The sequence below is a fragment of the Homo sapiens genome, chromosome 1 (assembly GCF_000001405.40).
Source record: "Homo sapiens chromosome 1, GRCh38.p14 Primary Assembly".
In the NCBI taxonomy this organism is placed as follows: Eukaryota; Metazoa; Chordata; class Mammalia; order Primates; family Hominidae; genus Homo; species Homo sapiens.
Genome location: NC_000001.11, coordinates 25,958,703 through 25,974,216, shown reverse-complemented (window position 1 = coordinate 25,974,216; position 15,514 = coordinate 25,958,703). Strand labels below are relative to the sequence as shown.

The following is a 15,514-nucleotide window of genomic DNA, read 5'->3' as shown; positions in this document are numbered from 1 at the left end:
TGGGTGTTGGAAAGGAAGTGGTGTGGGTTTGGATGAGTTCCAGAGATTGCTAGCCTCATTTGGGAATTTTATTGGGTCTTTGGAAGAGTGTGAATATGGTAGACCTTTGATATTCACCAGACACATTTCTAGAGACCTTCATGAATACCAGAATCACAGATCACTGTTAACATATGTTGTCTTCCATAAACCTTCTATATTCTGGTCAAGAGAAGCCACATTTTTTCACTTCCATCATCAGCACTATCAGTTAGTTTTCTTTTGGGAGCCATTTTTCACAGGGAAAAAAACATTTTTAGTGACTTTAAGAAATGTTCCACATGTGGGAGGTGATATTGAGCCACAGATGTCGGGCTGAGATCTCACGGACTGCTCCTGCCCTGCAGTTGAGCCCAGCGGCACACAGGATCCAGGGATCCATCTGGTTCCTATTTCAGCAGAATGACAAGTGACTGCATACCATGGACCTTTGGAGTCACTGGGTAGTTGAAGTGCCAAATCCAGAGCCCTCGAGCACTGGGGCCGGCAGTATGGCCAGTGGCTTCTTCCCTTGCTCATCTTGGTCCTGGCCCTCTTTCCTAGGGCCACCCCTCCTCGTTCAGTTAGGTTTCATGGCAGTAGACACTGCCTGAATGCTTCCCCAGGTCAGATTCAGGAGGGAAAGGAGGTGAGGCCAGTTGGGAAGGGGTACACTCAGGGGACTTAACGCCTGGCAATGTATCGTTTATTCAACTGAGTGCTGGATACTCAAGTATCCCATATATTATTCTATACACCTTTTTGTGTGCCTTAACTAATGCATTTTTTAAAGTCAGTTTTTCTGTGATATCAGACAAATACTTTAGCATTTAGATTCTCTTTCTCTCACTGAATTGACTAGTAAATTCAGTTATGAATAATTTAGCCCAAAATTAACCTAGCAAGGATTTCACCTGCAAATTAAATTTATTTTCTGCCAAAGGACTTAAGTTCCAACCCAGAAACCCCCTTTTACAAAGCACTCACTCTTACTTTTCTGATTGTTTAAATAAAGGCAAGTAATTCCTTTTCCCTCTTCACTCTGTGGTACAGTTCTGAAGAATAACTTCATTTGTTTTGTGAATGTTTGAAATTCACCAGGCAAAAGCCACAGCTAATAGATTGTAGTAACATAGAAATGCCACGTGCCACAGATCCCACCTCCTTGCTCCTGTCCCTGCTCCTGCTAGCTCAACCTTTTCCCTGCACTGCCAGGCATTGTAGTCTACGGGTCAAGCCAGCTTTGAAGCCAAGCACATCTGGCTTCAAATCCTAACTCCATCCCCAACTACTTGTATGACCTGACCCTAAGCAGATAGTTTCTCTCCTTGGATTCTGTCAAGGGGGAAAATACTTCCCTTACAAGGTTGCTGTGAAAATAAAGTGTGATAATACATGAAAAGCACCTTGCACATAGTAGGTGCCTAACACACATCTGTATGCCCTAGCCGCCAGACCCCTGCCAGTTGTTTTTCTTTTCCCCTAGTGGTTCTGTTCATCGGAGTCAAACTGACTTTGCTTTTGTGACTGGCAACTTGATTGGTAAATTCTTCTCCACTGAAACCCGTGGGAGCCTGGACCCCTATGAAGGGCAGGAGGTTATGGTACGGGCCATGTTGGCCTTCCTGCAGAAGCACCTCGGTAAGGAGAAAACTGGGGCTCTTGGGGCAGCTGTGGGGTCCCTTAGATTTCCTTGCAGCAGAGTGAGAACTCTGACATGTCTGGGATCTGGGAAGGAGATTTATGGCAAATGGAAAACCTGAGTGAAGGAGAGACTTACATAGAATTACAGAAAAAACAAGTCCAGGTGCAGTGGCTCACGCCTGTAATCCTAGCACTTTGGTGGGTTGAGGTGGGAGGATGGCTTGGGGCCAGGAGTTCGAGACCAGTCTGAGCAACATAGTGAGACTCTATCTTTACCAAAAAAAAAAAAAAATTAGCTGGGTGTGGTGGCACACACCTATAGTCCCAGCTACTCGAGAGGCTACGGTGGGAGGATCAGTTAAGCCTAGGAGGTCTAGGCTGCAGTGAGCCATGATTGCACCACTGAACTCCAGTCTGAGCAACAGAGCAAGACCTTGTTTCTAAATAAATAATTAAACAAATAAATAAGAAAAAATACTTAACTGAAAGTTTGGAGATCCTGACTATCTTACTTGCAGAATGACCTGGCCTAGTCATTTAACCTCTCTGAACCTTGGTTTCCTCCCTGTAAATGGAGTATTCACCTCTCTCTACTCCACCACCTCTCTCCTTACCCAGACTCATTATTGCCCACCTTATCTGCATTGTAGGGGAGTTTATGAGGATAACGGGCTAAATTTATGGAAGTGTTTTAAAGAAACAAAGCATGGAAGGACTATGAATAATGTCATCAGTCATAGAGCAGCTAAAGGGCGAGGCCTGCAGAGGTCCATGGTCCAGCTTCCACCCAGAGGAGGCATCCTCTTATTAAGCTTTATTGGTTACAAAGACTAGAGGTTCACAAACTTAGCTTGAGAAAAAAAGGGGAGTTTGTTTATGAGAGTGCACCTGGACTGGGTGGGAGTGCAGTTATAGAAATCAGGGTGGCTGGCAGGACTGACTTTTCTTTCCGTCTGTCTCATGGGTTCAGTCTCTCTGTGTCTTCCTCTCACGACATCTCTTTTTCTTTGTTCCGTTATGCATTTTTTTTTCTGCTCTGTGGTTTTTCTCTCACTGATAGCAGCTGTTTATTCCATTTCTGCTTCCTCATAACTTCACTCGGCTTGAACCACTCAGAGTGTGTTCCCTTTAGCTTGCGGCATCCTTTCATCTTCAGCTCCCACTGCTCACTGCCATATTTTTTTGGATTTCTTTGAACAGATTTCCAAGAGAGGCAATTTGATTGTATCAGCTCCTCTTTGCCCACCAGAACACACTGTAGCCCCGTCCCAGCTAGGCTCTGAGCTCTCTGCATCAGAGGTCCCTTTCTGATCCCTCAGCAGGTGCTGTGTGCAGGGCAGTTTCCATGAGAAAGGAGCCAGGCTTGTCTGAATTTCAAAGGTTTGACTTAACTCTAACCTAAGAGCAAGATCTCCTAGTTTGTAACCCTCCTCTACTTGCCCAGGTTAACCCCTCAAGAGCTACCCATAGAAGCCTCAGACGGCACCTGGCAGTTCCCTAGATATTTGAAGTCACCTATGCTAGTCTTCTCTGAGTGTTCTGTTTATTAAACTAAATGTTCGTGGTACCTCCACCTGTCCCGGTTCAATTCCCCATGTTGCTATTTGTTATCCCCTTCCTTTGGAGTCGCTGTTTTTTGGTGCCCCTTCTAAAGTGTAGTGCCCTGGCCGGGTGTGGTAGCTCAACATCTGTAATCCCAGCTACTTTGGGAGGCTGAGATGGGAGGATTGCTTGAGGCCACGGGTTTGAGACCAGCCTGTGCAACATAGTGAGACCCCATCTCAGCAAAAAAATAAATAAAATTAGCCAGGTATGGTGGCATGTGCCTATAGTCCCAGCTACTCGGGAGGCTGGGGTGGAAGGATCACTTGAGCCTGGGAGGTCAAGACTGCAGTGAGCCAAGATCATGCCATTGCACTCCAGCCTGGGCAACAGAGTGATACCGTCTCCAAAAAATAAAATAAATAGATAAACTGTGGTGCCCTGACTTGACTATAATGTATTAGATGTGGTCTGACCGGTGCCATCCTGGACAGTCTCTTCTGTGCTCTGTTTTTTGTTTTGTTTTGTTTTGTTTGAGACGGAGTCTCACTCTGTCTCTCAGGCTGGAGTGCAGTGGTGTGATCTCAGCTCACTGCAACCTCAACCTCCTGGGTTCAAGCGATTCTCCGGCAGTTCTCCTGCCACAGCCTCCCAAGTAGCTGGGACTACAGGCATGTGCCACCACACCCAGCTACTTTTTGTATTTTTAGTAGAGACAGGGTTTCACCATGTTGGCCTGGCTGGTCTCGAACTCCTAACCTCCAGTGATCCACCTGCCTCGGCCTCCCAAAGTGCTGGGATTACAGGTGTGAGCCATCGCGCCTGGCCGTCTCTGTGCTCTGGACACTAGCCTTTTAGTTGGATGACCTGAGTGCATTCACATTCCTCACAAGTGCACAACAAACAGCCTGGATTGAGTTTGCATTTAAAACACATCTGTCTTACGCATTTATTGACTTTTTGGAAGTAAATTTTCATTTTTATATTTCTGCCTGTTCGTTTCATCTTACACATCGTGAGCCTTGATTCCAGCCTGTGTTTGGAGACCTTAGGGTCAATAAGAGATTTTAGGGCATCATTCTTATCACCTGGCAAGCAGGGAATGGACCCATGTCTCAAGACTTTAATGGCGCCTGACTGCCTGGTCCTCAGCCCCCTTCCCCTGTCCCCTCATAGGCACCATGTCATTATAAAAGCTTAAGATGAAAGATGATGGGAAGCCCACCATGGCACGATTGGGCTCCCTTTAAAAGCAATACCCGTTGAGCTAAGATACTCACTGTTAGAAACCTGCTAGCAGACATGGAAATGGGAGGTAGGAGGCACTTAGACTGAAAGAAGATTTTTGAGGACTTACTTTATGCCAGGCCTTCTGCTCCTGCTTTATCGCGTGTAATTCTAGAGACAGCCCTTTCCAGTAGATACCTTTATTATTAACTGCATTTTACAGGGGAGGATACCAAAGCGTAGGAAATTTAAGTAATTTCTTTAAGGTTATCTGGTTATCAAGTGGCAAAGCCAATATGTAACCTAGACTGGCCAATTCCAAGGCCCATGCCCTTAGTCACTTCACTATGCTGGCGGTGACTCTGGTGACAATTCAGAGTGATAAGTTCCATGGCCACAGTAGGCACTCAGTCTTTAGACTGTCCACACGGAGGACAGTCTCCTAACTTTGACAGGAGAGGAAGAACAGCTAGGAAAGGGGGCTTCCTTGACAACACAATGTTTGCCTTTAATCTTAGTGGAGGGTTCACAGGCAGGAAAGGGCGAGGGTCTTCTGGACAGAAGGCATAAATGCTTGAGTGGGCCTGGTCAGGATTGGGAAACTGTGTTTAGTGTATCTGGAGCTCAGGAGAGTGAATTGTTGAAAGGCAAAGATAGAGAAGTGGGCAGAAGCCAGAGGAAGAAGCCTATGGATTTGCTGAAGTGAGTTTGAATGTTATTCCACAGGCTGTCAGGAGCCCCTGGTGAGTTCTAAGCAGGTGAATGTTGTGATTAGACTTGTGTTCACAGTCTGGTGCATTGTGGAGGATGGGGCAAGGTGAGAGGCAGGGAGCTCTTAGGTAGGAGGCTTTTGCAGTAATCCGAGTGATAAGAGATAAGACAGTCTGAAAAAGTTGGGCACAGTGGCTCACGTCTATAATCCCAGCATTTTAGGAGGCTGAGGCAGGAGGATTGCTTGAGCCTAGGAGGTTGAAGCTGCAGTGAGCTGTGATTGTGCCACTGCACTCCACCCTGGGTAACACAGTGAGACCCTGTCTCAAAAGAAAAGAAAAAGGCCAAGGCTGTGGGCTTGGGCAAATTAGCTTTACAAAGAGAGAAAAGCTTTTAGTAGGCACACAGTACATTGTCACATGGGAAACTAAAATAGGCTGTAAGTGGCTCAGCTGAACCTCTCACTCTGAAAAAAATTCCTTCTGAGAGCACTTGTTTGGCTGTTCTGGGGATATGATCTTCTATGAAGACTGGTGCTTCCTTCATATTAACTCCATGCAGCTCCTGTCTCCACCTACTCTCCTCTCCCACTCTCCTGGAAGACTATTTCACACCTTTTTTCTCCTCGAACCTCTCACACCTCTTCCCTTATCCTGTCTCTCAGTTAACTTTGCCTCCCACTTCACCAAGAAAATGGAAGCAACCAGCACTTCCTCAGACTCCCAACACCACCTCTCCCCACCTTCCTGTGTATAATCAGCTTTCCTTTCGGTTACTAGAGTTCCCACCTCAGTTGCCTCATTAAGGCCAACCCCCCAACACAAGATTCCATCCTCTTCTGTCTGCTCAACATGATTGCGCCAGTGATTTTTCCCTCTTTATTTTATTTATTTATTTATTTATTTATTTAGGACAGAGTCTCACTCTGTCACCCAGGCTGGAAGGCAGTAGCTGCCATCTCAGCTCACTGCAACCTCTGCTCCCAGGTTCAAGCAATTCTCCTGCCTCAGCCTCCCGAGTAGCTGGGATTACAGGCACCCACCACCATGCCCAGCTAATTTTTGCATTTTTAGTAGAGATGGAGTTTTGCCATGTTGGCCAGGCTGGACTCAAACTCTTGACCTCAAGTCATCCGCCCACCTCGGCCACCCAAAGTGCTGGGATTACAGGCGTGAGCTACCATGCCCAGCCCCTCTTTACTTTAGATCATCAATTTTTCCCTCTCTGCTGGTTCATTTCATGCTGAAGTTTCTCCTAGAAAAAAATAACTTTCTCTTGACCTCAATATCCCCTGCAGTTGCCACCCATCTCCCTGTTCCCCATCACAGCAAAACTCAAAAGAATGTCTGCTTTCGCTTTTTCTAATTCCTCTCTTCCCATTCCCTCTTAACCCACTCCAGGCTTTTGCATCACAGTACTCCATCAAAACCGCTATTGTCAGGGTGCCCAGTGACCTTCACAATGCTAGCTCCAGTAGTTCTCATTCCCCAACTTCTGGAACTCTCTGCAGCTTCTGATAAAGTTGATGGCCCCCTCCTCTGGGAAACCCCCATCTTCACTTCAGAGATCCACACTGTGGACTTCCCCCTATCTCCATGTTTGGGCCTCTTCCATCTGCTGTGCTGCTTGCGGGGCCCAGTGCCTGGACCTCTTCTAATGGCTTTCCGTGCCAACTCCATGCTGGGGACTCCCTCTGCCACTGCTCCCCAACTCTACTTAGTCATCTAATAGAAGTAACAAACAAAACCAATTTCAACTGCACTCTTTTCCTTCTTCGTTAATCGTAGCTCCATCCTTCTAGTTACTCAGGTCAAAGTCTTCATCCTTGTCTCTTCTCTCATGCCTCCTACCCAGTCCCTCAAACAATCCTATTGGCTCTACCTTCAAAATACACATGGAATTGAATCACTTGTCACCACCCCACAGCTACCATCCTGTCCAAATCATCTCTCATCCAAATTAGTGCAGTGGTTTCCTAACTGGTCTCCTCACTACCACCCTTGCCAGTCCCTCTCTTCACAGTCTTTTTTTTTTTTTTTTTTTGAGAAGGCGTCTCACTCTGTCGCCCAGACTGGAGTGCAGTGGCGCGATCTCGGCTCACTGCAAGCTCCGCCTCCCAGGTTCACGCCATTCTCCTGCCTCAGCCTCCCGAGTAGCTGGGACTACAGGCGCCCACCACCAGGCCCGACTAATTTTTTTGTATTTTTAGTAGAGATGGAGTTTCGCCATGTTAGCCAGGATGGTCTTGATCTCCTGACCTTGTGATCTGCCTGTGTTGGCCTCCCAAAGTGCTGGGTTTATTTGTATAGATGTAGGGGGTACAAGTGCAATTTTCTTACACAGCTATATTGCACGTGGTAAAGTCTGGGCTTTTAGTGTACCCATCACCCGAATAGTGAACATTGTATCCAGTAGGTAATTTTTCAGCCCTCACCCCTCTCCTACCTGCCCACCTTTTGGAGTCTCCAGTGTCTTATTTTTCTACTCTGTATGTCCATGTGTACCCATCATTTAGCTCCCACTTATAAGTGACAGCATTCGGTACAGCATTCGGTATTTGACTTTCTGTTTCTGAGTTATTTCACCTGGGATAATGGCCTGCGGTTCTGCAAAACGTGATTTCGTTCTTTTTTTATAACTGAGTAGTATCCCATGGTATATCTGTACACCACATTTTCTTTATCAGATCTTCTGTTGATGGGCACTTAGGGTGATTCCATATCTTTGCTATTGTGGCTAGTGCTGTGATAAACATATGTGTGCAGGTGTCTTTCTGGTGTAATGATTTCTTTCCCTTTGGGTAGATAGCCAGTAGTGGGATTGCTGGATCAAATGGTAGTTCTATTTTTAGTTCTCTGAGGGATCTCCATACCGTTTTCCATGGAAGTTGTACTAATTTACATTCCTACCAACGGTGCATAAGTGTTCCCTTTCTCTGCATCCTCACCAGCATTTATTGTTTCTGGACTTTTTAATAATGGCCATTCTGACTGGTGTAGTATCTCATTGTGGTTTTAATTTGCATTTCTCTGACGGTTAGTGATGTTGAACTTTTTTTTTTAAATATGTTTGTGGGACACTTGTATGTCTTCTTTTGAAAAAAATGTCTATTCATGTCCTTTGTCCACTTTTTTCTTTTTTTGAGTCCAGTTTCTGCAGAATGCCTACTTTTTAATGGGATTATGTGTTTTTTTTTTTCTTGTTGAGTTGTTTGAGTTCCTTGTAGATTCTTTTTTTTTTTTTTTTTTTTTTTTTTTGAGACAAAGTCTTGCTCTGTCACCCAGGCTGGAGTGCAGTGGTGTGATCTCGGCTTACTGTGACCTCTGCCCCCCAGGTTCAAGTGATTCTCCTACCTCAGCCTCCTGAGTAGCTGGGATTACAGGTGCCCGCCACCATGCCTGGCTGATTTTTTCGTATTTTTAATAGAGACAGGGTTTCACCATGTTAGCCAGACTGGTCTCAAACTCCTGACCTCAAGTGATCCACCAGCCTTGGCCTCCCAAAGTGCTGGCGTTACAGGCGTGAGCCACCATGCCCAGCCTTTCCTTATAGATTCTGGATATTAGCCCTTTGTTGGATATATAGTTCAGAAATATTTTCTTCCATTCTGTAGGTTGTCTATTTACTCTGTTGATTGTTTCTTTTGTGGTACATAAGCTTTTTAGTTTAATTCAGTCTCATTTGTCTGTTTTTGGTTTTGTTGCATTTGCTTTTAAGGACGAATTCTTTGCGTGAGCCAATGTCCAGAAGAGTTTTTCTTCTAGGATTTTTATAGTTTCAAGTCTTATGTTTAAGTCTTTAATCCATCTTGAGTTAATTTTTATATATGCTGAGAGATATGGGTCCTGTTTCATTCTTCTTCATATGGCTATCCAATTTTTCCAGCACCATTTGTTGAATAGGGTATCTTTTCCCCATGTATATATTTTTGTTGACTTTGACAAAGATCAGTTGGTTGTAGGTATGGGGGCTTTATTTCTGGGTTCTCTATTCTGTTTCATTTATCTATTTTTCTGTGTTTATACAAGTAACATGCTCTTTTGGTTACTATAACCTTGTAGTATAATTTGAAGTTGGGTCATGTGATGCCTCCAGCTTTGTTCTTTTTGCTTAAGGTTGCTTTGACAGGCTCTTTTTTGGTTCCATATGAATTTGAGGACTTTTTTTCTAATTCTGTAAAAAATGGCGTTGGTAGTTTAATAGGAATTGCGTTGAATCTGTAAATTGCTTTGAGCATTATGGTCATTTTTAACAACATTGATTCTTCCATTCCATGAGTGTGGGATGTTTTTTCCATTTGTTTGTGTCATCTACAATTTCTTTCATCAGTATTTTGTAGCTCTCTTTGTAGAGATCTTTCACCTCCTTGGTTAAATGTATTCCTAGGTTTTGTTTTGTTTTGTTCTTGTTTTTGTTTTTGTTTTGGTGGCCATTACAAATGGGATTGAGTTTATGATTGGGTTCTCAGCTTGATTGTTATTGGTGTATAGAAATGCTACTGATATTTTTGTTTGTTTCTTCATTTGTTTTTTATAGAGACAGTGTCTCACTTTATTGCCTGGGCTGGTCTCAAACTCCTGGGCTCAGGCGATCCTCCTGCCTCAGCCTCCCAAAGTGCTGGTGTTATAGGCATGAGCCAGTGCACCCAGAAAAATCACCACCACTGATTTTTGTACACCAACTTTGTATCCTGAAACTTTACTGAAGAGTCATTTTATTTATTTATTTATTATTTTGGCTTCCTCAATCATGGTATTATTATTTATTTCTCTTTAAAAATATGGAAAGCTTAACGAATTTGCATGTCATCCTTGTGCAAGCGCCGTGCTCATCTCTGTATTGTTCCAGTTTTAGTATATGTGCTGCCAAAGCGAGCACTGAAGAGTCTTTTCTTCATAGAGCAGCCAGAGTGATCCTTTTAGGAATTTAGTGAGATCTTCTCACTCTTCTGCTCCGAATTCTCCAGTGGCTCCCAGTCTCCCTAAGAGCCAAAGCCAGACTCGATTATCCTGCCAGGTATATGTCATGTGGCCCTCCAGTCCCTCCTGGCCTCCTCCCCTGCTGTTCTTCCCTTGGCTCACTTCACTCTCACCACATGAGCCTCGAACGCGCCAGGCACGCTGCAGCCTTAGGGCCTTTGCACTGCTCCTCCCTCTGTCTAGAACATTCCTCTCAGATAGTCTCGTGGCACACTCCCACTTCCTTCAAGCCTGGCCTCAAATCTCACCTTCTCAGTGAGGCCCACCCTGACCACCCTTTTTAAAACATTGGCCTGGCCAGGCACCGTGGCTCACGCCTGTAATCCCAACACTTTGGGAGGCCGAGGCGGGCGGATCACAAGGTCAAGAGATCGAGACCGTCCTGGCCGACATGGTGAAACCTCGTCTCTACTAAAAATACAAAATTAGCTGGGTGTGGTGGTGCATGCCTGTAGTCCCAGCTACTTAGGAGGCTGAGGCAGGAGAATCACTTGAACCTGGGAGGCAGAGGTTGCGTTGAGCCGAGATTGACCACTGCACTCCAGCCTGGTGACAGAGCAAGACTCCATCTCAAAGAAAAAACAAACAAACAAAAAACATTGGGTCCTTCCTTTCTCCCTTCACTCCAACCCCTGGCCACCACCAGTGCTTCCCTTAACGGGCTCTATTTTTTTTCCATGGCACCTCTCCCCTTTTCACATCCTATATAGTTATTATGTTTATTGTTTGTCTCTGCCACTAGATGATGAGCTCTGTGAGGACAGCAGTTTCCATCTGTTTTGTTTGTGGATATATTTTTAGCTCAAAGAACAGAGTGTGGCACATAGTGGATGTGCTTATTGTTTTTTGAATTAATGACTATGTAGTACTTATACATTGAGGACCTATTCCGTGCCAGGTTCCTGGCAGGGCACTGGGAATCCAAAAATGCATGAGAGTGGTCCCTGCCTTCTGTCCCAGAGTCTGTTTGTTTTGAGGAAGGACACCATTCATCTGCTTAGCTTGCCCTGCTCCCTCAGCCTGAGGGCTTGGACCCTTTGTGCCTGTTCTTGCCGTGTAGTTACCCCTATTGGCTGTGAGCTCAGGGCCCCTTCTTGAGTCATTCCTGGAGTTTCGCTGCTCCATGATGTTGCTGTCCTCTTGCTCCTGCCCTTCACTGAAGTGGTCCTGGATTTGCACCCACAGGCTGAGCTGTCAGATACTGCTTTTTGCCTAGTAACCTCCTTGAGCCTGGAACTAGACTTTTCATTTTCTCAGCCTTTTTTTTTTTTTTTCTGAGACATGGTCTTGCTGTTGCCCAGGTTGGAGTGCAGTGGCATTATCACAGCTCACTGCCGCCAACTCCTTGCCTCAAGCAATCCTCCAGTCTTGGCCTCCTGAGTAGGTAGGACTTCAGGCACACACCACCATACCTAGCTAATTTCTTAATTTTTTTGTAGAGTTGAGGTCTTGCTACGTTGCCCAGGCTGGTCTAGGAACTCCTAGCCTCAAGTGATCCTCTTGCCTCAGCCTCCCAAAGCACTAGGGTTACAGGCATAAGCCACCATGCCCAGCCCTCTCTGCCTTTCTGACTTGGATTTGAATTCTGTCTCTACCACTTAATAGCTCTAATGACCTTGGGCAACTCAGGTAGCTTCCCTGATCCTCAGTTTCCTGAATTACATAATAAGATTAGTATTAATACTTAGTTCATAGGGATATGGTGAAAATTAAATGAAACCATGAATGTAAAGCATTTAGTACAATCCTTAGAATGAATTCTCCATCAATAAATGTTACCCTCTGTTATTATTATCGTTATTGAATTGTTATGGATTATGTAAGTCATTTATAAAGGCACTGAATAAATGATAGTTATCGTTACCGCCACCACCACACAACCCCACCAAAACCAGTCCTTTTGGTATCCCAGGCGCTCCTCTCTCTAGGATGACCCCTTCAATGCATGTCAGCTACTCTTTGACCAAACCTCACAATGATTTGCCTAATGTTCCTGTTTTTTTCCTTTTCAGACCTGAAAGAAGACTATAATCAATGGAACAACCTTATTGAAGGCATTGGACCGTCGCTCACCCCAGGGGCCCCCCACCATCTGTCCAGCCTGTAGGCACAACTGGCCATTTGTAAAGTCACTTCAGCCAAGTTTTCATTTGGGAGCTACCCAAGGGCACCCATGAGCTCCTATCAAGAAGTGATCAACGTGACCCCTTTTCACAGATTGAAAGGTGTAATCACACTGCTGCTTGGATAACTGGGTACTTTGATCTTAGATTTGATCTTAAAATCACTTTGGGACTGGGATCCCTTGCTGATTGACAAACAGACTTTCTGGGACCTTGATGGAGTGGGGAACAAGCAGTAGAGTGGGACTGGGGGAGACCCAGGCCCCGGGCTGAGCACTGTGAGGCCTGGATGTGAAGACTCAGCCCAGCGAAGCTCATTCCCTTACCCCCGGCCAGTGCTGCTGCTTCAGTGGAAGAGATGAAGCCAAAGGACAGAATGAAAATCCCTACCTTCAGAGACTCTAGCCCAGCCCAACACCATCTCTTCCTACCTCTCAGCCTTCTCCCTCCCCAGGGCCACTTGTTGAAGTCTGAGCACTTTATGTAAATTTCTAGGTGTGAGCCGTGATCACATTTTCTATTTATTTCCAAGTCTTCTCATTGTATGGAACATAGTACTACTTATACTTACAGTAGTAAGTTATACTTGTGAGCCCACAGAGTGGCAGACAGCATGGCTCTCACAGCACAGGGAGAAAAACTGAGGTACACAGAGGTACCTCAGAAGCTCTGGATGTCTTTGGGGGTTTTGCTAAGTGTATCTTGATAGGAAACAACAAAAGCAGGTTGAGATGGGGAAGATGACAGAACAACAGTGTTAAATGGCCATTTGCACAGGCCTTTGCCACAACAGAGAAGTAGTTTGGTCAGCTAAAACTCAGCTGCAGCCTGGACAGTAGAGCGAGACCCCATCTTAAAAATAAAGAAGGCTGGGCGTGGTGGCTCATGCCTGTAATCCCAACACTTTGGGAGGCCAAGGCAGGCAGATCACTTAAGGCCAGGAGTTCAAGACCACCTGGCCAACATGGTGAAACCCCGTCTCTACTAAAAATACAAAAAATTAGCCTGGCGTAATGGCAGGCGCCTATAATCCCAGCTACTCAGGAGGCTGAAGCAGAAGAATCACTTGAACCTAGGAGGCGGAGGTTGCAGTGAGTCAAGATCGCGCCACTGCACTCCAGCCTGGGTGACAGAGCAAGACTCTGTCTTAAAAAAAAAAAAAAGAAAAAGAAAAATTTAAAATAAATAAAATTTAAAAACGCAGAAGGCCACTCCCAGAGAGGCCTAGGAGTACCTTGGTCATTTTTTCTTGCCTCAAATATTATAAACCTCCAACTTGCTCAGAATCAGGGTGCTTTTATTGTCTGTTTTCTGGCTCTGAGGCCCTTGCCCCAAATTTAAGTCAGATACAGACTGAATTTCCATTCTGTTCTGTTTATAATATGAATGATATTAATACTCTTGTTTGCTTAATGTTATGTTGGAATTTTCTGTTTAATCTGCAGTAGAGCAAGATGGAGAGCCATCTGGAATTGACTTCCTTCTGTCTTTCTTCTGTGTTCGCTTACTACTTGGGCCCATGTGGGAAAAAAACTTTAAAAGGAAGGAAGTCTTCTTAGGGATCCAGTTCAAAGCTATTTGGGGGCATCAAACTGAAACTCTCTTCTCCACTACTCAAGACTTCGTGCCTCAGTCCAAGTAGGTAAGAGCAAAAGGGAAATGCATCTCTACACAATGGCCCATGGTCAGGGCCACCAGAGCAAGCTGGGCCTAGATCTCCACCTGTCAGTGACTGGCCATTCTAAGAGGTGAAACAGCAGATCGTTGAGGCTGTGAGGGAGGATCTTTGAATTCCCATGAGACATAGCATAAGAAGGGTATCATTAAAGCCCTGGGCTCTAAAGTTACAGAGCCTGGTTTTGAGTCCTGGCTCCACCACTGCCAACTGGGTAAATTTGAGCAAATGGTATTCTCTTTCTTATCTCAGCTCCTGCGTTTCTAAAATGAGGGTCTGCGTTATGAATAGTTAGGAGGATTAAGTGAGAGGATGTATAACCCATGGGTTACTTAAAAGTATATTTCCTACCTTCCAAACATGAGATTTTTCTAGTTATAGTTTCTTTTCTAGCTTGATTGCTTTGTGGTCAGAGAAAATGACCCATATGGTTTCCATCCTTCAAAATTTGTTGAAACTTGGTTGTTGGCCTAGTATGAGATCAATGTTGTAAATGTGCCATGTATGTTTAAAAAGACTATATATTCTGAAGAAGTTGTTGGCTTGCTCTTTTACTCAAGAACACATCATAGATTTCTGTCTTTTTTTTTTGAGATGCAGTCTCACTCTGTCACCCAGACTGGAGTGCAGTAGCATGATCTCGGCTTACTGCAACCTTCGCCTCCCAGATTCAAGCAATTCTCCTGTCTCAGCCTTCTGAGAAGCTGGGACTACAAGTGCACGCCACCACACCCAGCTAATTTTTGTATTTTTTTAGTAGAGATGGGGTTTCACCATATTGGTCAGGCTGGTCGCAAACTCCTGACCTCAGATGATCCACCTGCCTCGGCCTCCCAAAGGGCTGGGATTACAGGCATGAGCCACCGTGCCGAGCCCATAGATTTCCTTCTATGAGAGCACAGACAGATATATAATGGGGCCTTCCAACTACCACATGGGCACCAGAGACCCTCAGCACTTGCAGAACCAGCCGTAGGCCAATCCTGAGCATACGCCACCCTTGTGCTGATTCCACAAATGCTGAGAGGCCGGTTCTGGCAGTAGCAGCATGTGAGACCCAGGTTCTACCTTAGCTCCATAAATAACACAGGTAAATTTTACAAAACCATGAACAAGAGACCTGGAGCCTCCCTAGTGAAGGGAGTGTTCCAGAAACTAGATCCCTTTCCTTCATTCAATTCATGTTCTGGTAATCACTCATTTATCCAGCAAACACTAGAGTATGTGAATTTTCCATATAATTGAAAATTATCCTAGAGGCAGCAAAATATAATATTGATTATTTTGAATGGTAATCTACCAAAAAGATAATACACACACTTTTTAATCAAAGTGAGCTGACCTCGTTCAACCTTTTAGGATGTTCCAGTCAGGATAGACTAGGTTGTATGGTGGTAACAGGCAATCCCAAAAGCAACAAAAGTTTATTTCTTGCCCATGCCACTTGTGCTCTTTGATCGGCTGCAGGCTCTGCTCTGCATCATTTTTATCCTCACTCTAGGATCCAGGCTGGTAGAGCTGCCATTATCAGAAAGTGTTGCTGTTCACCATGGTGGAACAGGAAGAAAGCCTGATGAATCACCCGCTAGCTCTGA

General features: G+C 45.0%; 1 protein-coding gene and 1 pseudogene across 6 annotated transcripts in view; one reads left to right on the top strand and one right to left on the bottom strand.

The window, feature by feature from the left end:
* Positions 1-14,450, top strand: part of PAFAH2 (platelet activating factor acetylhydrolase 2) — a 38,297-nt gene extending 23,847 nt beyond the window's left edge. For all 6 annotated transcript variants that reach the window (XM_047421701.1, NM_000437.4, XM_006710670.4 and 3 more), the window contains 2 exons: positions 1,505-1,659; positions 12,134-14,450. In XM_047421701.1, the coding sequence (XP_047277657.1) occupies positions 1,505-1,659; positions 12,134-12,228 (250 nt within the window). In that variant the 3' untranslated portion in view covers positions 12,229-14,450. The remainder of the gene's footprint in view (positions 1-1,504; positions 1,660-12,133) is intronic.
* On the bottom strand, positions 9,917-10,020 carry RNU6-110P (RNA, U6 small nuclear 110, pseudogene; annotated as a pseudogene).
* Positions 14,451-15,514: the final 1,064 nt, after the last annotated feature.